At 41.4% G+C, this 21,243-nt stretch overlaps 1 protein-coding gene across 6 annotated transcripts in view, besides 3 other annotated features; it reads left to right on the top strand.

Annotated features, from left to right (window-relative positions):
* The window catches only part of PRKN (parkin RBR E3 ubiquitin protein ligase), a 1,380,350-nt gene that overhangs the window by 983,356 nt on the left and 375,751 nt on the right, over positions 1-21,243 (top strand). The gene's annotated exons all lie outside the window — the stretch shown is intronic.
* Positions 689-738: an enhancer, noted in NCBI's record as "active region_25415". NCBI's record gives its function as "activates an Ori minimal core promoter by ATAC-STARR-seq in GM12878 lymphoblastoid cells {active_cell/tissue: GM12878}" and the evidence as "EXISTENCE:reporter gene assay evidence [ECO:0000049][PMID:35858748]".
* Positions 2,042-2,111: an enhancer, noted in NCBI's record as "active region_25414". NCBI's record gives its function as "activates an Ori minimal core promoter by ATAC-STARR-seq in GM12878 lymphoblastoid cells {active_cell/tissue: GM12878}" and the evidence as "EXISTENCE:reporter gene assay evidence [ECO:0000049][PMID:35858748]".
* Positions 16,685-17,438: an enhancer, noted in NCBI's record as "OCT4-NANOG hESC enhancer chr6:162148005-162148758 (GRCh37/hg19 assembly coordinates)". NCBI's record gives its function as "activates a minimal SCP1, AML or CMV promoter by ChIP-STARR-seq in naive H9 embryonic stem cells {active_cell/tissue: H9 hESC(naive)}" and the evidence as "EXISTENCE:reporter gene assay evidence [ECO:0000049][PMID:30033119]".

Here is a 21,243-nt window from a genome sequence, read left to right as displayed (position 1 = left end):
AGAAATGGACTCTGTTGCTTCTCTGTGCCATGTGCAACATGGCCTCTGGCTTTTATTGTTTTTGAAAGCGAAGTGATTCATCGTGTGGCTTAATCTAAGGTGCTTATTTTGGACCCACTGTTCACATCTGTGCTGCATGTATGGTTATTTGGAAACTGTAATTTGGAGATCTGAAAGTTTCCCAATTTGAGGAGCATTATACCCAGTTTGAAAAAAAAAAGAAAAAAAAACAGTAAATAATTAGCAAAATAGACTTTTGTTAAGCTGAGTTATAGAGTGAATATTTATAGTTGGCTTTTAAAAAACATATTCATACATATAAAAATCCATGAGCTCTACTCTTCTATGATCTCTGAAGCAGAAACCACATATACCCAAGTGGATGAATCAGGTGCTGCCCTAGCTGTCCCTCTCAGAGGCCCCCGAAGTCACGAGAAAAACCCCAGGGCTCCGTGGAACAGTTTGGTAATCACTTGTTTCTAGCAAAGACGCAGCCCTGAAAAGCACAGGCACGTAAGAATTATATTCAGGGACCATAGGGCAAGCCTCCAACAGAATTGACCAGACTTCTCGATGATTTATTTTGTCAGAATTGGTGCCCAGAATGTATACAATATAGAATGATACTGTTGGCTATACTCATTAACATATGCATGTACTTCCCCTCAAAAGTTCCCTTTGTTGTAAGTTATCAGAGTGAGGCCTTCCTCGGGGCTCACGGTGTGCCCGGCAGTGTTCTAGGGAGAGCTCACTCCCGGCCTTGCAGGGACTTACGCAAGTGGGGGCGGAGGACAAAGGGATGGACGTGAATTATATGTTGGGTTGGAGGGTGGTGATCATTGTGAGATAAGATAGAAACCAAGTCCAGGCGCAGTGGCTCGTGCCTGTAATCCCAGCACTTTGGGAGGCCGAGGCAGGCGGATCACAAGGTCAGGAGATCGAGACCATTCTGGCTAACGTGGTGAAACCCCATCTCTACTAAAAATACAAAATAAATAAATAAATAAATAAATAAATAAATAAAAAAGCTGGATGTGGTGGCGGGCGCCTGTAGTCCCAGCTGCTCGGGAGGCTGAGGCAGGAGAATGGCATGAACCCGGGAGGCGGAGCTTGCAGTGAGCCGAGATTGCACCACTGCACTCCAGCCTGGGCGACAGAGAGACTCCGTCTCAAAAAAAAAAAAAAAAAAAAAAAAAAGGTAGAAACCAGTATAGACAGGCAAGGAGAGGTTGGGAGTGCCAGGGCAGAACAGCAGGAAGAATAATTTCCACATTGTAAAATATTCATTCCAAATCTAATCTGTGGGGAAAAAAAAATTCATTTCAGCCAATAAGTTGAAACTTAGGGAAAACAAGTTTTATTATGAAGGCAATGAGGGACTGATGCTTCTTAGAGTATTACAGTCTTCAGATATAGCTTAGAGAATCTTAAACTAAATATTCTCTATCAGAAGCAGGAAAGACCAGGAACCAGGTTGGATTGGAAACCTGGACTCTTCTCTCTCAACCTCTGCGGCCTTCAGAGAAAGGGTGGGCCTGGTTGTCAGATGAGGGGGCGCCACCCCTCTGTGGGCATTCACCAGCTGTGTGGTCCAGGTTTTGCCTCCTCCTCTGTCAAAATGCCATGGTGCTACTCTGCGCGGCTGTGAGAATCCAATGAGCTAACTTGTGAAAATGCCTGGCGTGATTAGAGAGGCTCCATAAAAACTAGCTTTCTTTATCACTTCTGTTTTCTCTTCAAAAAAGTGAAGGGGATGAGCAAGGCAATAACTGTGGACACTTTGAGCCTGAAATGTCCTTGCATATGTGAGAGCTTCATCAAGGAGAGCAACCAGTTCTTGCTTTCCACAATGCACATGGGAAGACCCTGGAGGTGTTTCAGGGCAGATGACTAAAATATTGTTTTGAAAGCGTCATGAAGATTCTCAAATATTCCAGTGTATTAGTCTGTTCTCATGCTGCTAATAAAGACATACCCAGGATTTTCCCTTATTTATAAAGGAAAGAGGTTTAATTGACTCACCGTTCCACATGGCTGGAGAAGCCTCACAATCATGGCAGAAAGCAAAGGGGAAGCAAGACGCATCTTACATGACAGCTGGCAAGAGAGAGCTTGTGCAGGGGAACTCCCAAAACCATCAGGGCTGGGCGCAGTGGCTCATGCCTGTAATCCCAGCACTTTGGGAGGCTGAGATGGGTGAATCACCTGAGGTCAGGAGTTCGAGACCAGCCTGGCCAACATGGTAAAATCCCGTCTCTACTAAAAATACAAAAATTAGCTGGGAATGGTGGTGCACGCCTGTAATCCCGGGTACTCAGGAGGCTGAGGCAGGAGAATCACTTGAGCCTCGGAGGCGGAGGTTGCAGCGTGCCAAGATCGTGCCACTGCACTCCAGCCTCGGTGACAAGAGCAAGACTCCGTCTCAAAATAAATAAATAAATAAATAAATAAATAAATAAATAAATAAATCCCATCAGATCTCATGAGACTTATTCACTACCATGAGAACAGTATGGGGGAAACCACCCCCATGATTCAATTATCTCCACTGGGCCCGCCCTTAACATGTGGGGATTATTACAATTCACAATGAGATTTGGGTGGGGACACAGCCAAACCATATCACATGGGAGTTATTTGGAGGATAGTTCTTATTAATTTGGGATGGTGTAAGTAACGTCCTTCCCGAGACAAAGAGGTTGAATGCAATCAATCTGCTTGTGTATTCAACAGAGGATCACCCCAGACCAGTTTGAACCCTCGTGGTGTGTTTACTGCCCAGGCCTCATCCATGGGGCTGATACTGGGACAAGCATTTCTCCCAGGTCAGTGGGGATCGTGTCTGAAGGATGAAGAACCTGACTGCCTTTCTGGAAAGACAGAGGCCCCCTGATGTGATGCTCTAGGGCACACAGACACTATCCCCAGGGAGACTTTGCCACAAGATACTTTGATCCTCGGATTCCCCGTCCGGTACAAGGCAGCCACCTTCGGCCTTGGTGTCAACTCCGTTCAGTTTCCTTGCCCTGCCTCTGAGATTTGTCTCATCGAGTGTCTTGTTACTCTTATGCTTCTGTTCCCACACTTCAATTTTGAGGGCTTTGAATCAGGTCCTCGGAGAAACTATTAGATGGCATGACCACTGAATAAATCCACGGAATTACCCTCACATGAGTACCAGCTGTTGGAGAAATTGTCTCATTAGCTGACAGATGCCCTTCAGCTTTTTAGAGTAGATAGACAGAGTTGCATGAATGACTGCAAGGACGATGTCAAAAGTTGGACTCAGCGTGAACCCAGGAGAATAGGCTGAATTAAGAATGCAAATGTATGGCTGTGGACACACTAGCAAATGTGTTTCTTTGGGTTAATTCTGGCCCTTACAGAGTAGTTGTCAATTATTTGTAAATTTACCCAGTTATTCTTAAGCTAGGTCCGTGAGTATTTTAAAGCCTCTGGACCATCAATTCAGTCCAGGGAGTGAGACAATTTTGTGCATAGGGAAAGCCCACCTGTTCCTTGGATCAGAATGAAACCTAGCTTGTGGTTTCTCCACCACACGGGCCTACTGTTTGTTTTTTGATAGACTTTCTTCTTCACTGTTTTACTAAAAGTTATTGCCCTGATAAATTCCTTAATGACCAACAAGTCAAAGGTCTTGATGTGAGACTCTGCACTGAATCAGCTGCAAAGCTTGGGCTCACTGCCTGTTCCACACCTGTCTATGGCAAAGCTGCCTGCCCAAGTGTCAGCCGTTCATTACAGTTGTAAAACCCGAACTTGATTCAACTACCACATCCGGTTTCTAAATGTGTTCATCAATGTTGCAAACGGCCCATTCAGAATTATCACTGGAGGACGTGGGACCGAGGGAGGCCACCTACATGGGAGCAGTGCTGGCCCAGAGGCATATCTGTCTGGATCAAGTGATTAGAGACTGCCTGGGGTAAACTGAGGCAGGAAGTCACAGGTAAAAGAGCCCTGCAGTCCCAGTGAAACAGGTAGGGCAAGTAGCAGTAACGAGCTGTGGAAATGGGGTCCAGGCCTCAGGAAATGCAGGGGTGAACCTTTGTGTACGTAGTTGATATAGACGAGGACAATAACATCCTTAGGTTCAAAGGGACAAAGTGCGTATGCATAGCTCCCATTCGAGGATCCATAAAATTAATCATGGGCATCCAGGTGCTATTTTTAATATTTCAAAAGCACTTAAAGGAAAGTATATCTTTTCCTTTGAAAAGGCTGCACAATTTAATTGAAATGTCAAGTCGCTTTGGGCAGAAATTGTATCAACTCGTTTGATAACATTGGTTAACTCAGGCTGATCTGAAGTCCTCATTAATAGTTACATGTGTTGGCCGGGCGCAGTGGCTCAGGCCTGTAATCCCAGCACTTTGGGAGGACGAGCTGGGCAGATCACCTGAGGTCAGGAGTTCGAGACCAGCCGGGCCAACATGGAGAAACCCTGTCTTTACTAAAAATACAAAAACTAGCTGGGCGTGGTGGTGTGCACCTGTAATCTCAGCTACTCAGGAGGCTGAGGTAGGAAAATCGCTTGAACCCGGGAGGTGGAGGTTGGAGTGAGTAGAAATCGTGCCACTGCACTCCAGCCTGCAGGACAGAGCAAGACTCCGTCTCAAAAAAAAGAAAAGAAACAAGAAAAAAAATTGTTACATGTGTCTTTGAGTTAAAAAAAGACAGAGGTACAGAGAGAAAGGAAAGGAAAAAAGGAAGAAAAAGAAAATTGCTGAAATACGGTTTATTTGGCAAACATCTTTCAAGTGTAGCAGTTTGGAAAAGTAGTGAAAGGAAATGTTGATGGTGAGAGAATTTAAACACCTCATGCCGACTCTTCCCGACTAATCCGATTATACACGTAAGTATGAATAGCTATTACACCTCTTCAGTTTTTATATTGCAAATACGTTTTTTAAATTTTATGAATAAAAGGCACTTAAAATAGTGCATCTCCTGCTTGTTTTAATTTAATTAATTTATTTATTTTTAGGCATAGTCTCGCTGTCGCCCAGGCTGGAGTGCAGTGGTGCAATTTCAGCTCACCGCAACCTCCATCTCCCAGGTTCCAGCGATTCTCCCACCTCAGCCACCCTGGTAGCTGGGATTACATGCATACGCCACCATACCTGGTGAATTTTTATGTTTTTGGTAGAGATGGGATCTTGCCATGTTGGCCAGACTGGTCTTGAACTCCTGACCTCAAGTGATCCTCCCACCTTGGCCTCCCCAAGTGCTGGGATTACAGGTGTGAGCCACTGCACCTGGCCGCCCTGCCCCTCTCCACTTAATATACAATGGAGAAAATACGGATCCAGTGAAGTCAAATGAGTTAGCTTAAATCACGTTAAGAGGATCCTGGCATATCAATATCTTCTTATTTCCAGTAGGGGCTTTGACCAGTAACCCACATCATCTTATCTCACAAAAACTGTATACCTGTTTCCCACAGTTTGCCTTATTATTATTTTTTGTCAGTTCTCTAACACTTAGTGAAATTATTAGATGCTCTAGTGTAGATGCCTGTGTAGGCCTCAGCAGGATGAACCTCAGGCAGATTTATGGTCAATAGAATATCACTGTGGCCAGCACTCACATTTGACTTCTGATTTAAGTAGGTGGTTGCAGGCTCCAGCCAGCCTGATGCTGGACCCCCACCTGCAGGTCTAAGACGGATGTAGAACCCATCAGTGGTGACTGCACCCAGGGTTTCGGGGAGCAGCCTCTACACCTGGTGACCACACACACTAGTTGTCATCTACCCTACTTGGTACCAGGTTCAAAGCCATGCCTCTCCAGCATCTGCGTGTGTGGGAGCTGGTGGCACGGGGAGCCTGTGGTGCCTGTGCTTTGATTACTCAGGGACACATTTTACCCTTTGCTATGTTACCTTAAAGACAATAATGTCATGTTACTTCCTTTCCTTCAATATTAGGTCCATTTCAGTGACTTTTCACGTTTATAAAAGCTAAGCCTCTCACCACTAAGATAGAGGACATGAAATGTGAATTCAGAAGATGGAGGGCAGAATGGAAGATTTTAAAGATGACGGGAGCACCCCTGGTCCTTCCTGACATCCGATGCTAGAATCGTCTGTTGGCTTGAATACACCTTCGAGTGACAAAGGTGTTTTCCCCTGGATTAAATTCCTGAGAAAGACACCAATTCAGTAATAAGTTATTCTTATAGGTGAAGCTTTGGTGTTACTTTTCAGAGAAATGAAAGTATATTTTACTATTTATAGAAAAATAGTAAAATAAAGAAGAGGAAATCATCTGCATTTTTAAGAAAAATCTACTTTTGAAACTCACTTTTGAACGAGAGTCAAAACTCAAGGCTGCTACATTTGATATTGAAGTCTTATCAATCAAGGCAGGCCAGGTTCAAATAGGAGGGCTCGTTAAATGAACTTTTCCAAACTATTATTTTGGAGGAATGCAGATAGAATCTTTCCAAATGGTAATAGTGGTTCAGTGAGTTAAACGGGATGTAATATGTGATACGCTGGATGTAATGCAGAGTGTTCTGAAACTTGAGCCCACTTCTTCTTGATCAGCCTTATGTAACTAGCCAGAAATCGCATCCTGCCCTGAACAGCGATTGCTTTTTGAGTGCCATCTCGCCCTGGCTTCTGTGTTTCCTGCCATGTTTATGGAGTCATCTGGTATGGTCATGGCTTTGTTCTAGGCAGTTTTGCTTTACAGTCCAAGGCCCTGCCACTCAGTAGCTCTGTAATCTTGCTGGGCTTCACTTACCACAGTTTTCAAATGGGAATAATAACAGAGCCTACTTCAAAGGGTTAGTGTAAGGTTTTATTGAGTTAATATATTTCAGGCACATACAGCATTGAATGCCATAATGTGAAGCTCAAAAATGTGATCATATTAGATCTTATAATTCTTTTCGTACTTATTTCTATCCACACTTTATTTCCCTTGTTAAAGCTGCTTTAAAGTCTTATATATCCTTAGATAGTTTTCAGATTGTTCTCCCCTCTCCATCCCTGCCTCTGCTCTTCATTCATGTTCTGTCCCTCATGTGAACCTCAGCCTTCGCAAGGGCGCCCGCTGTCCTCATCGCTCCATCCTAATTCCCTCTTAAGGGACATTGTTCTGGTCAAGCAGTCCCCTGATTTAGTTCATTCCCCTTTAAGTGGATTCCCCTTGCCTTCCTGGTGAAGGCCAGATGACTTCACCAGGTGTGCCTGGACCTCGCCGTCAGCCCCTCCTCTTCCTGTGCACCTGCACTCGGGCCTTTGTCTCCCATTTCCAGTATGCTCTTGCAGAATTGACACATCCCATTGCCTGATTGCACCATGCCCTCTCTCATCTCTGCATCTCTTTCTTCTGCCTGTGAATGCCTCCGCCTCCCCTTCACTGTACTCCTTCCTGCATGAGCAGAACGCTGAGCTATGCTTGGTCAGACTGTGAGCTCCGACTCACACAAACCAGAGACTTTACACAGTGTTGAGCTTCACTAAACCATGTCAGAGACTCAGGCCATTGAAGCCTCAGACAAAACACAAATTTGGAGCTGTGAGAACAGGACCTTTCTTCCCACTTTGGGCTTACCCTTCTGACCCAGAATAGATGAGGTCTTGGGGTTTCTCAGACAGCAGGGAACATTCAAAATATAAAACATTTCTAATTTGTACCCCCAGAAAGTTGTATATCTTACATGACATTCTCTGGGAAGTCATGTCTTAGGAATCTTGGGTTCTGTTTACTAACAGATTATTCCTAGCTGGATGTCCTGCTAAGGACTTCAGAGACAAGGCTTCTTCCTTCCAACAATCCTGGTTGACAAGGAGATTAGACCAGGTCTCAGCCTCCTTTTCTTTGCCCTGGGGATGGCCCCCGGTAAGGGGAGGGAGTGAATGGCAGGCTGGTTGCAACTCCCTCTTCTCAGACATGTGTTGTCACAGTGTTTATCCAGGGCTTCCACAACCGATTAGCCACTGAACAACTGCAGTCCTAAGTATGTGTTCTACATGTATGATCTCTTCTCACCTTTACTGCTGCTCAGAAAGGTAGATATGATTTTCTACATTTTACAGACAATTAAAGGAGTACAGAGAGGTTACATAATTTGCCAAGAGTATAAACAGCTGCAAGCAGGACAGGGAGGATCTCCACAGAAGTCTGTGTTATTCAAAAGCCCTTTCTCTTTGATAATTCATGTGAACATCAGCCTTGCCATGAGATTTTGAGTTCTTTGACAGGTGGTGTTTTGTACGTCCCTTACACATTGTACAGGCTTAGACTTCAGTGAACAGCAAATGAATGAATGGATGAATGAGTGAAAGAATGAATGAACAGAGACATTTGTTTTCTTCCCGTGATTCCAGGGAAGGATGTGCTGTGTTATACATAGCAGGTAACAGGTATTGATTGGGACTTATTTTCTGTAAAAGGAAGAATTTTTTAAGAAGAAGGATGCAAAATAGATTTTTATAGTCTCACTTTTTTTTTTGTTTTTTCTGAGACAGAGTCTCGCTCTGTTGCCCAGGCTGGAGTACAATGGAGCAATCTCGGCTCACCACAACCTCTGCCTCCCGGGTTCAAGCAATTCTCCTGCCTCAGCCTCCCGAGTAGCTGGGACTACAGGCGCCCTCCATCACACCCAGCTAATTTTTGTATTTTTAGTAGAGATGGAGTTTCACCATGTTGGCCAGACTGGTCTCGAATTCCTGACCTCGTGATCCACCCTCCTCAGTCTCCCGAGGTGCTGGGATTACAGGCGTGAGCCACCATGCCTGGCCTTACAGTCTCACTTTTAAAAATACAGTTGATCCTTGAGCAACACAGGCGTTAGGTGTTCTGAGCCCCTGCACAGTTGCAAATCTGTGTACAACTTTTGACTCTCCAAAAAACTTAACAACTAATAGTTGATTCTTCATTGAAAACCTTACTGATGACGAAAATAGTCGACTAACACCTATTGTGGATGCTATTTGTATTATATAAATATCCTCAAGTAAGCTAGAGAAAGGAAAATGTTAAGAAAATCATAGGGAAGAGAAAATATATTTACTCTTCATTAAGTGGAAGTGGATCATCATAAAGGTCTTCATCCTTATCGTCTTTATGTTGGGTAGGCTGAGGAGGAAGAAGGGGAGAGGTTAGTCTTGCTGTCTCAGGGGTGGCAGAGGTGGAAGAAAATCCACATGAGGGGGACTTGTGTGTACAGCTCAAACTTGTGTCATCCAAGGGTCAACTGTACCCTTCACCATGTTGGCCAGACTGGTCTCAAACTCTTGACCTTGTGATCCACCCTCCTCAGCCTCTCTCTACAAGGGGAACAGAGGCTGGAGAAGACACCTAACAGGAAGGCAGCAACTAACACTGGAGGGGGCATGTGCTTTTTTTTTTTTTTTTGCTTGTTTATAATCCCTAAAATTCTCTTGTGTTGGAAAAAGAAAATATTTTTCTAAGGAAATTGTGTTTGTAAGCATGTGTTTAATTAAAAGGAAATTATTAGTGGTGATATCCACATTCAGACTATTAATATTTATTTCTGTTAGGTGCGTCATCATTGTGATATAGGCAAATGGGAAAGGGACACATGAAACTTGGTAAAACTATGAAAAATATTCAGTTCAGTACAGAGTGTACATACCTTATTCACTCAGGTCCCACTCAATAGCATTGGCTTGGAAGATTTATTCAATTCACTGGAATTTGTAAAACATCAAGTGAAAAAAGCAACTGTTTTAAATTTTAGCATTAAAAACTCACCTATGCCAAGAAATTTCCTCTAAATGTTTAGGGAAATTAGTCACTGTATTCATTTTCTATTGCCGCAGCTCAACAAATTACCACACACTTAACACAAATGTATTACCCCTCAGTTTCCACAAGTCCAGGCCTGAGTACCAAGGTCCTCTGCTGATCAGAGAGGGTCTTGACCATCACAAGACTTTGCGATCTGCCTTTCATAATCCTGTACAGGTGGCTCCACACAATACTAATCTCAGTATGAAAACAGAAATTCTCACTGTGTTTGATGAACATATTGAATGAACGTATTTTGGGATGGAGATATTACAGCTAGGGAAGATGTCAGCCTAATTCGCAGGCCTGGAGTGAAAGCATTCATTGTATGGAATACCGTGGGTTGAAACATGATTTTTGGTTATCTTATGACTTTGTATGGGCTGGAAAATGTTAGCAATGTAAGCTGCAGTTCATTTTCAGTTGCTTTAAAATTTGCAGGAAAACCGAGGTACAGTACTTTATAAATTAACAAACATGGCTTGCACATGTCTTCACATCTGTGTGTTCACTGGCTGGAAGGATGATGTAAAACCACATCCAGATGAACTTTAGGGAAACTTTCCTTATGATACACTTCTTTGTTGTGTTGTGTTCTTTTTTCCATTAGCAAATATGTGTGTGTGTGTGTGTGTGTGTGTGTGTGTGTGTGTGTGTGTGTGTAAATGAATTTTCAATAAAAGAGAGGTCATTTAAAAAGTATTTATTAGAAGAGAAAAGATGAAAGTTATTTTTTGGAGACAGACTTGTAGTTTAAAAATATAAGCACTTACACATTCTGTGTCATTCACTTTGGAATACATATATATATATATATATATATACATATATATATATATTTTTTTTTTTTTTCACCCCCTGGGAATTTTCAACAATACTAAGCAGGGATATTAAATGATCCACTGACCCCAAGTCACTATTTTTGGAAAGAAATGGTCAGCAGTCTTGGCAAGGACTGAAAATTTTCTCTCTTTGGGATCAAGCTTTGTTTCAGTTAAGCAAAGTGAATTACCTCGAGTCTTATATTCTGGGCAATTATGTCATGACAAATCTTGAGAATAAGGCATCAGCTGGAAGCTAAGGGAGTTTTATCTCCTAGGTGGTTTGGTAATCACTCCCAAAGTTTACTACCTGTAGTATTCTGGCTGTTATCCCAAGAAATGCGAATGCAGTTGCCTTTCGTATCTGAAGATGATTATACCCGGGTGTTGTTTATTCAACAGGGCTATTACAGGAGGATTCTAAGTTAAGGTTCATAAACCATGGGCATTTTAACAATAAAAAATTAAATTATAAACCTGCAAAGGGTTTCATGAGATTATCTTACTCAGTTCTTTTAATTCTGGCTTATTTTCATACTTTTCCATATAAGGAGATTCCATAGACTTTCCCATCAGTTTTAAGACTTAAAAATCCATATTGTCCTAAATTAGATAAAATTTGGACATATTTTTCCTAGGTAGCTAGTAGAGGTGAAGTTTAACTGTTTGATATCTTTCTGATAATAATACCTCATATACCCAGTAGCATGAAATAAGTGTTTCATTACCAATTTGATAAAAATCCGTTTTTCTTTTTGTTTTTGTTTTTTTCTGTTAGCAGCATTTTCTGAAGTAGAAAGGCAATCTTTACTGAGAGGTTCCTACGCCCTCATTATGGTGCTGTTGCTCCAAAGGGGGAATATGAGGGCAACATTAGAGATCTCCATTTGTCCCTAGAAAATTCTCCTGAGGCAAACTCAATCTGCTCACTGCTAACAAGTGAGGGTGAGTCCAGACATTGTTTGCATGAGACCAGGTCATCGAGACAATGCAAAGAACCCTGGATGCTAACTGAAGCTCAAATAGCCCCATAAAACTCTGACATCTTTAATGTAATGGCTGATTAAAAAGAATGAGATCATGGCCTTTGCAGCAGCATGGATGGAGGTGACGGCCATTATCCTAAGCAAACTAACACAGCAACAGAAAACCAAATGTTGCATGTTCTCACTTTTAAAATAAGAGTATATATTTTGAGTAGGTATTTCTTTGCATCGTGTACACTGTATGCATCTTGAATGTTTGTTTATCTAATAAAAGTTTTAAAGGCTTTCGGAAATATAAAAGTGAATTATCTCCACACACACACACACACAAAAAAAAAAAACCTCTGAAGAAATGCAAGCTGAACAATGAGAACACATTGACACAAAGACAGGAACAGCAGACACTGGAGCCTACCTGAGCATGGAGGGTGGGATGAGGGAGAGGACCAGAAAAAGTACCTGTTAGTTTAGGAGGCTGAGGTGGATGGATCACCTGAGGTCAGGAGTTTAAGACCAGCCTGGCCAACATGGTGAAACCCTGTCTGTACTAAACATACAAAAATTAGCCAGGCATGGTGGCACACACCTGTAATCCCAGCTACTCAGGGAGCTGAGGCAGGAGAATCGCTTGAACCCAGGAGGCGGAGGTTCCAGCGTGCTGAGATTGCACCATTACACTCCAGCGTGGGTGACAGAGCAAGACTCCATCTCAAAAAAAAAAAAATAGAACAAGAAAAAGTACCTGTTGGGTATTAGGCTTAGTACTTGGGTGATGAAATTATCTGTACACCAAACCCCCGTGACATGCAGTTTACCTGTGTAACAAACCTGCACATGTACTTCTGAATCTAAAACAAAAGTTAAAAAAAAATACCAAAAAAAGTAAATGTAATGGCTATACCTACTGAAACATACACCTTTCTACCAAGTCGTCACAGTTATTAACATAATATTTATATTTGGTGTGTGTATATTCACAATGCAGTTGTGCTCACAATTTGTCTTCCATGTTAATTGTAGCTTGCTGCTTAGACATATTTAGTGCTTTTGTTTAATTAGCCTTCATTTCCAATTGCATTTCTCTGTCTTCTTCAGTCTCTGTTTATCTTTATAGAGTTTAATTTCTGACTTGTAATCCATCCCATTCATCCTATAATTTGCCATTCACATTTCTTCAGAAATGTGGGGGATCATTCAGTTTTATATTTCCAAAAGCCTTTACAACTTTTATTAGATAAACAAACATTCAAAATGCATACACGGTGTACACAATGTAAGGAAATACCTACTCAAAATACATACTTTTACTTTTAAATCTTTTATGCTTTATGTTAAATTCAAAATAAGTAAATTTATTTAATGATACATGTAAAAAATCTTAGCCTGCTTCCAAAAAACTATTGGTTGTGTAGAAATGCCTACAGTTATTATAGACAGTCACAGAGAGTTCAGAGTAGCAGGAAAGATATCAACCATGAGATGGGCCTAGGCAATAGTTCACAGTGTTTTTTCAGTCATGACCCACCAGGTGGGTTCTGGCCGCACATGTGCTTCACACCCATGGATGGGTCCATTGTTTGTGCCTTATTCCTGTAACCCTGCATACAGCTCCATCTTTTAAACTCAACAAGAAAACATATCAGAATGCAACACATCAGAGTGCAACATATCAGGATTCAACACATCAGAATACAACATAACAGAAAGAATGCAACACATCAGAAAGAATGCAACATATCAGAAAGAATGCAACACTTCAGAATGCAACATATCAGACTGCAAGATATCAGAACGAATGCAGCACTTCAGAATGCAACACATCAGGCTGCAACATATCAGAAAGAATGCAACACATCAGAATGCAACACATCAGAAAGAATGCAACACGTCAGAATGCAACATATCTGAAAGAATGCAACACGCCAGAATGCAACATATCAGAAAGAATGCAACACTTCAGAATGCAACACACCAGAAAGAATGCAACACATCAGAATGCAACATATCTGAAAGAATGCAACACTTCAGAATGCAACACACCAGAAAGAATACAACACATCAGAATGCAATATATCAGAAAGAATGCAACACTTCAGAATGCAACACACCAGAAAGAATACAACACATCAGAATGCCACATATCTGAAAGAATGCAACATATCGGAGGGCAACACATCAGAAAGAATGCAACACATCAGAATGTGATGTATCAGAAAGAATGCAACACATCAGAATGCAACACATCAGAAAGAATGCAACATATCAGAATGCAACACATCAGAAAGAATGCAACACTTCAGAATGCAACACATCAGACTGCAACATATCAGAAAGAATGCAACACATCAGAATGGAACACATCAAAAAGAATGCAACACATCAGAATGCAACATATCAGAAAGAATGCAGCACGTCAGAATGCAACATATCTGAAAGAATGCAACACATCAGAATGCAACATATCAGAAAGAATGCAACACTTCAGAATGCAACACACCAGAAAGAATACAACACATCAGAATGCAACATATCTGAAAGAATGCAACATATCAGAGGGCAACACATCAGACTGCAACATATCAGAAAGAATGCAACACATCAGAATGCAACACAGAAAGAATGCAACACATCAGAATGCAACACATCAGAAAGAATGCAACACATCAGAAAGAATCCAACACATCAGAATGCAACACATCAGAAAGAATGCAACACATCAGAGTGCAACATATCAGAAAGAATGCAACACATCAGAATGCAACACACCAGAAAGAATACAACACATCAGAATGCAACACATCAGAAAGAATGCAACATATCAGAATGCAACACATCAGCAAGAATGCAACACATCAGAATGCAACACATCAGAAAGAATGCAACATGTCAGAATGCAGCACATCAGAAAGAATGCAACATGCCAGAATATGCAACACATCAGAAAGAATGCAACATGTCAGAATGCAGCACATCAGAAAGAATGCAACATGTCAGAATATGCAACATATCAGGAAGAATGCAGCATGTCAGAATGCAACACCTCAGAATGTAACACATCAGAAAGCAAAAGCCTTAGAATGAAGTCCTCACAAGTTTCATCTTGAACATATTCTTGAACTATATATTTTTAATTTGCCAATTTTAGTGCTCCCTCAGTAATCACAGACTCCTTTTGACACACATCACATCTGAGTCAGACATCTCAATGAGTCAGGTAAAACTGGGTTTTTTAACTGGCTTAAGTGAAATAAGGAATGAGAAATTGCCTTGAACTGTAAAATGGTCTACAAATGTAAAGTTGGAAGACATTTTTTGAATTGATTATTCCTCTACCTGAAGACATTTTTCCAACCTATAATAATCAAATGTAATAATATCTTCACTTAAAAATAGAGTTGACTTAACTGTTACTTTACACACATGCGCAAAAAAAAACTGTCATTTTTAATTTTTAAGAATTCCATCCAAAGAATTTCTTAAAAAGTTGACTTTTTTCCCCTTAATTATTTTTGACCTTGGGTTTTATGTAAAGCTTGGTGTCCTTTTAGTGTTACCTAGTGGTGTTATTAGAGTTGAAGTGTCTAAGCATATAGGAGAGTATAATAGTCAATGTGAATAATATTAAACCTTCTTCATTAAAGAGCAGTGATACACATTCTCAGCTGCCTAAGCTGAATTTGAGAATTACAATAGTAAAAGAAATTATACTTCATGGGAAGAGTTGAACAAAGGAAGAATAATTGTTGTATGTTAATTCCTTCTGTTTATCTCATTCATCTTTTTCAACTGTTAGAATTATTTCAGAGGCTTTAGATGTACATCTAGGCACATTTGAGTTTGATTTTATGTTGGTTGAATGCAGGCAAACTCTAGAATGCCATGATTACTTTTCCTGCAGGAGAGGGGTCACTGCGTAAGAAGATTTGTTAAGTATATGCTACTGTGTATTTTTATAATACAAAATATGTTCCTGCTATTAGGCTCCTGCCTGGTTTGGCCTGTTTATGTTTTGAAGAATAGTGGAGCTGGGAACTCATACGGTGGTTTTGCCTTGTGCCCCAGGAGCCTACATGCCATCATCATGGGGAGCAAAATGCCCCTCACCCCTCGCTCCTGAGGGCATTGCTGGGTTCAAAAGCCCAAAAAGAATATTCCATCAGAAGATAAATAAATACACACTTGAAGAAAGCCTCTCCTTTTTTTCCTGTGTTTGTTTTTAACCATGAGCATCTATTATGTGATTGTGTAAAACAATATTTTCCCCCCAAATTTGTACAGTACGTGTGCAGCCTGGTTCTCCTGCTATATATTCTACTTTCAATCAGGTGGGGGGCGGTGACAAGCCCCTCTTCCTCTCAACCTTGGCAGGTGCAGTGCGAGTCTGGTGGGATCCCTCACACGGGGTTTTGGAGGGCAGTGTAGGCTAATGTGACTGGTTGTTCTTGAAAATTAAAAGCAAAATAGAGAGGCAAGATTTGCTAGCTAAAGAAGACACTATTATTGGTTTCATTTTGAGAATCACTCATTTTCTGTGATTAAAATTTCTATAGGTGTGGAATGTTTTTTTTTTTCTCACATTTTGGTAGGAGAAAAACAATCATTCTCCTAGCTCCACCTGCTGAGAACTGAGAGAACTTTAAACAGATAGACATCTTTTCAAATTGTCAAAAACTTTCCCAGCATCTTTTAGCCCATGCAAAGTATTGTCAAAGCGCTAATTTTTACACTGAAATGATGAGACAAACCTTTCGCTCTTGGAAATTCCCATCAGTGAAGCGAAAATGGGTGATGACGGGCATCTTCCACTGGAATACCAGAGGCCCCAGTTCTCAATTAATTTATTAATTTTTAAAATCTGTTTTTAATAAGATGATATGTTCAGGATCATTTTCTGGGGTATGGAATTGGGTTTTCTTTTCATTAAATTAATCTTGTTATTCAGAGAAAAGTAAGTAGGAATACACGGCAATAAATAAGCCAGTCTTACTGAAACAGAACAAAAAAGCAAAACCTTTTTGTAAGTTGCATAGTGACAGCCTTTACTGGCCTCCTTTATTGACATCATGAAGTCTGGTAGGAATAACAGCTAATGCAATGTCCTGTGTTCTGATGCCTGTGTGTTAAGTTGCTAAAGGCAGACACAGAAGGCTTAAAGGGGGACTTAGACTGTCCCTCCCTGTGAAGTAGATCCATCAACACAGGATGATCACAGCAAGCATTTTAAAAAGACCATACATTGAGCGAATCCAGGAAGTCATGCTGCAGACTTTCTCTACAATCAATTGGATCATCTTTTATTGATCCATAATTAATCATTTGCAAGTTTCTTCATTTGAGGCTGCTTCCATTACATCCTTGTTATCTAAAAGCAATCCCCTCTCATGAGCACATTAGGCCCTGTTATTTATGGGAAGGATCCATCACTGAGTTGCACTGTGAGTTGCAGGAGAGGAGGAAGGTTGGGGACCCGGCTCACTGTGTGCTCTGAGCACTCCCTCTTCTGTCCCTCTGCAGAGAAACAGTCCTCAGGATAACAGCGGGAACTAATGCATTTGCCCTGCAGGGGTTGGTTGGACGGCTGAGAGGTGTGAGATTGTTCCTCCCCACTGCCTTTGTCCAGGACAAGAAAATAGGACTCCCATTGTGAAGAAACGACAGCTAGCCAGCAGCTCCCTGGGAGTTATGGAGCCCATCGCCACCCTTGGTTTCTCCTGTGTGTGTCTCCTGTTCTCTTAGGATCCATGACAAGATCCTTGTGAATGAAAAGATCCGCCTCGTCCAGACACTACAGGCAGGGGAAGAGGGGAACCGAGAAGTCAGGGTCTTTCCCCTGTTTCTGACCTAGTGACAACATCCAGGACAGAAGCAGCCTACTTTCAGATGTGACTGGCCAGTATCACTATTTTGGAAGAGCCAAACAAAGATCTAGAACAAGAAGAACTTCCTTAAATTGAAAGAATACAAGCCTAGATTTTATTTTCATAGTTTCAGAAAATGAGTTGTGATTCCTGATTGGGAGGGCCTATAGGGTCCTCTAGGGCATCTCTCTATCTGACCTATCAGGCATCTATCTCTTTTTTTCTTCCATGTTTATTATCATTATCTTTGTTTTTGCCTCTCTCATCAAATTTGTATGTCATGGTTTTTCAGTTTTGGCATATTTTCATTTTGTAAATGTCACTTATGTAAATCTACTAAGTAGAGGATCATTTAGCAAATCAATTACTCATAAATGATGAATTTATTTTTCTTCTTACCAACTGTATTCAAATGATGGTCCTAGAGGGACATTCTTGGATTCAAGATCAAGATGACTCCATGGATCACTCCTTAGGAAAAGGAAATGAAAGGGAAACCCACACTTACTAAGCACCTGCCATGTGCCGGATAACACATTAAGTGCTTTCACGACATAGGTTACTTTGGCAGATTTTTTTTCCACGTGCAACAACTGAATGATCTGTCTTGTTATAGATTTACTCTGTTTACATAGAATAAATGCCATTTTTACTACAGCAAGTGGTCCTCAGAATTCTTAACAGTAACAGAGTTTCCAGAAACACATTGAATGATATGACACATCTTTGAATCCACTGGAATGCTATTTTTACATAGAAAAACTGTCATTTCTACTACAGAAAGTGAACTAAATTTTATTTCAGTCCCTCTCTGCAGGAATGAGTGTCTCATAGCAGGGCCGCAGATTTACAAGGTGCACATTGACGAGAGCCTCAGACTAACTTTATGCCTTTTGATTTGTGAAGTGAAGTCAGTGCCCTCATTTCCAGCTGCATACGACACTGCCTTCTCCTGGTATAATGGTCATTGAATGTGCTGAAATAAATGTGGGACATATTTCATTTGAAGGGACAAAACTCAGAGCTGCTGTAGTTAACCTCCTGCTCTGACAGTATATGGAAGATCAAAAACTCAAGAGCAATGACCGAGGATGGGAGAAGAGGGACTGGTCCCTGAGAATCACAGCATGTGCCAGGCATGGTACTGGGATCTTTGCCAAAATCATCTCATTTAATGCTCATTTCAACCCTGCAAACAAAGAATTTTCTTTATTTTGTGGATGAGGAAGCTAAGTATTAAAGTTAATTGATCTTCCTGAGACTTTGGGGCTCAGGGCTCCAGGTACCTCCAAAACCCAGCAGGCTCTTTTTAGTGTTGGCAATAATGACTGCCACAAACTGCGGAAATGGGTAGGGTGAGCCATGCGGTTAGCCAGTGACTAGAAGGGATGCTTTGTGAATACCTGTGCTGTCTTTGAAATTTGTACCTTAAAAGATTCAGGCTCTTCCCTGCCTGTGCCTTTAGCAAATCACTTCTGCATCTATCATCCATGAACCCTTCTGGAATCTAATGAAATATTTAGGTGGTACTATCTTTGAAGATAAATGATTCCCCACTTCATCAGGCACCAAGTAATGTAGTTCTTACTTTTATTTGTCCTGAGTCTACTGCCTTCAATCAATTTATGATCTAGTGAACTGGTCTGAGGTTACCCTACCCATTGTCTTTATAATTCCAGAGACCTGGTTTGTTGAATTATTTAAATGTTTGCATTAAACAAAATTTTTAATCATTTGAACATTTATCCACCGTGTTAGGCCGTCCTGCATTACTATAAAGAAATACCTGAGGCTGGGTCATTTATAAAGGAAAGAGGTTTCATTGGCTCATGGTTCTGCAGGTTGTACAGGAAGCATGGCGCCAGCGTCTGCTAGGCTCCTACGGAGGCCTCAAGGAACTTTGACTCATGGCAGGAGGAAAAGCAAAAGTGGTATCTCACATGGGAGAGCAAGAGCAAGACAGTGGGGCGAAGGGGAGGTGCCACACACTTTGAAATAACCAGATCTTATGAGAACTCACTCACTATTTGTGAAGACAGCACCAAGCCATGAGGGTTTCACCCCTATGACCCAAACACCTCCTACCAGGCCCCATCTCCAGCATTGGGGATTACAATTCAACATGAGATTTGGTTAGGGACATATATCCAAATTATATCACCCACAATTAAACTTTAGTTATTGATATTATCATTCTAATAATTGGTGGGGAATTCTAGTAATTGCCAGACCTCCGGGTATATAACTGGTCCCAGAATTATAAAAATGTGTTCATATTTTTCACCCTGCATGATAAAATACAAAGAAAAACAAAATGTAGCATTTTAGTACAGAGGCTATGAAAATTATTACAGCCTCAGCATCCAGAAACTAAATGATATTAGATGGCTAGATAAAATGTATCAGGCTTTGGACAAATCAAAATTTGAGCAGAAATTGCAAATGTAACCAGCAGTACTGAGAGTATAATTTTTCAGCTTTCCAATTCACACTATCATCAGAGGCACCATCCCTGAGAGAGAAGCAATTCCTGAAAGTATGAACGCTTACCATATTTTTCAACCAGGTCTCTTTTACAAATGCAGAATATGACTGTCACTTGTAGTATGTCCATACATAAGCTTTTCTGCATTAGCACATGTATATCCTTTCAAATTTAGAAAGTTGCAATATCCTTGTATCAAAATATGCTATTCACGATCACTTTGAATCATTTAACATGAAAGGGAGCTATTAGCTCTTCAGCCGTTCCCCTCTGCAGTAGCATTACTAGGACTTGGCAGATAAGGACTCTTATTCCATGTGCCCGTCCTTTCAGGGACAGTAGATGGGGACCCTTAAATCTAGACATTGCAGACTCACCAGGCAAGAAGCTCTACTTCCCCCAGCATCACTGAATGGAGAAATGTTGCTGAAACATCTACCTTCCCACATTTTCTAAAACACACTCACAATGGAAGGAGCTGCTTCCACGCACTCACAGTGGAAGGAGCTGTAGGTGAGTGCGCAGTGGAGAGGGTGGTGGAGACAGGTGTCTTGAAGACCGAGCCCCCTACTGTTCTCTGTCTTCCCTGTTGAGGCCGTGAGGGCAGAACAGGTCTGCTGAACCAGCTTGAGGGAAGCATCCACAGGAAACACCCATGAGAGGAGAAAGAAGGGAGCGGCAAAGGCAGCCTGCGTGGATTCTCAGAGCATGGGGAGGACTGTGCCCAGATCTGTGGCTCCACTTTCTTTTTTCAGAGAGTGTGTGATTCAGTTTCCAAGGTGACTAGTGGCCCTGGGTGTAAAGTGATAGACTCATTTTTGTGCAGGCCATTGATCATGTCTACAGTCGTGAAAGAAAGTGTCTGTCTTTCTTTCTTTCATCCCTGAGTTTGAACTTCAACCTCTAGGGCTGCCCATGGACCCTGCATAGGTCATTTCTCCCAGCCGCCAACAACAGGAGCCAGAAAGCCAAAATATGCAAGATGGGGACCCCAGCAGAAACTGTAGGTTTCCCCTCCCACACCAATGCTTTCCAATGCAAAGATCCTTGCTCTAAGTAGTGGTGGGAATAGGAGAGGAACAGAGACTTTGGGTTAAAACATAAACATATTACCATGAACTTTAAAAGACATGAGGATTTGTAATAAACAGTGATCTGTTGTGTGTCACTTTAATCATGTAGACATGCACTTTTTTTTTTTTTTGAGAGGGAGTCTTGCTCTGTTGCCCAGGCTGGAGTGCAGTGGTGCAATCTCGGCTCACTGCAAACTCTGCCTCCTGGGGTTCAAGCGATTCTCCTGCCTCA

Source organism: Homo sapiens, chromosome 6, assembly GCF_000001405.40.
Source record: "Homo sapiens chromosome 6, GRCh38.p14 Primary Assembly".
Classification (NCBI taxonomy): domain Eukaryota; kingdom Metazoa; phylum Chordata; class Mammalia; order Primates; family Hominidae; genus Homo; species Homo sapiens.
Note: the sequence above shows the minus strand (reverse complement) of the source record. Positions and strands in the feature narration are given on the sequence as shown.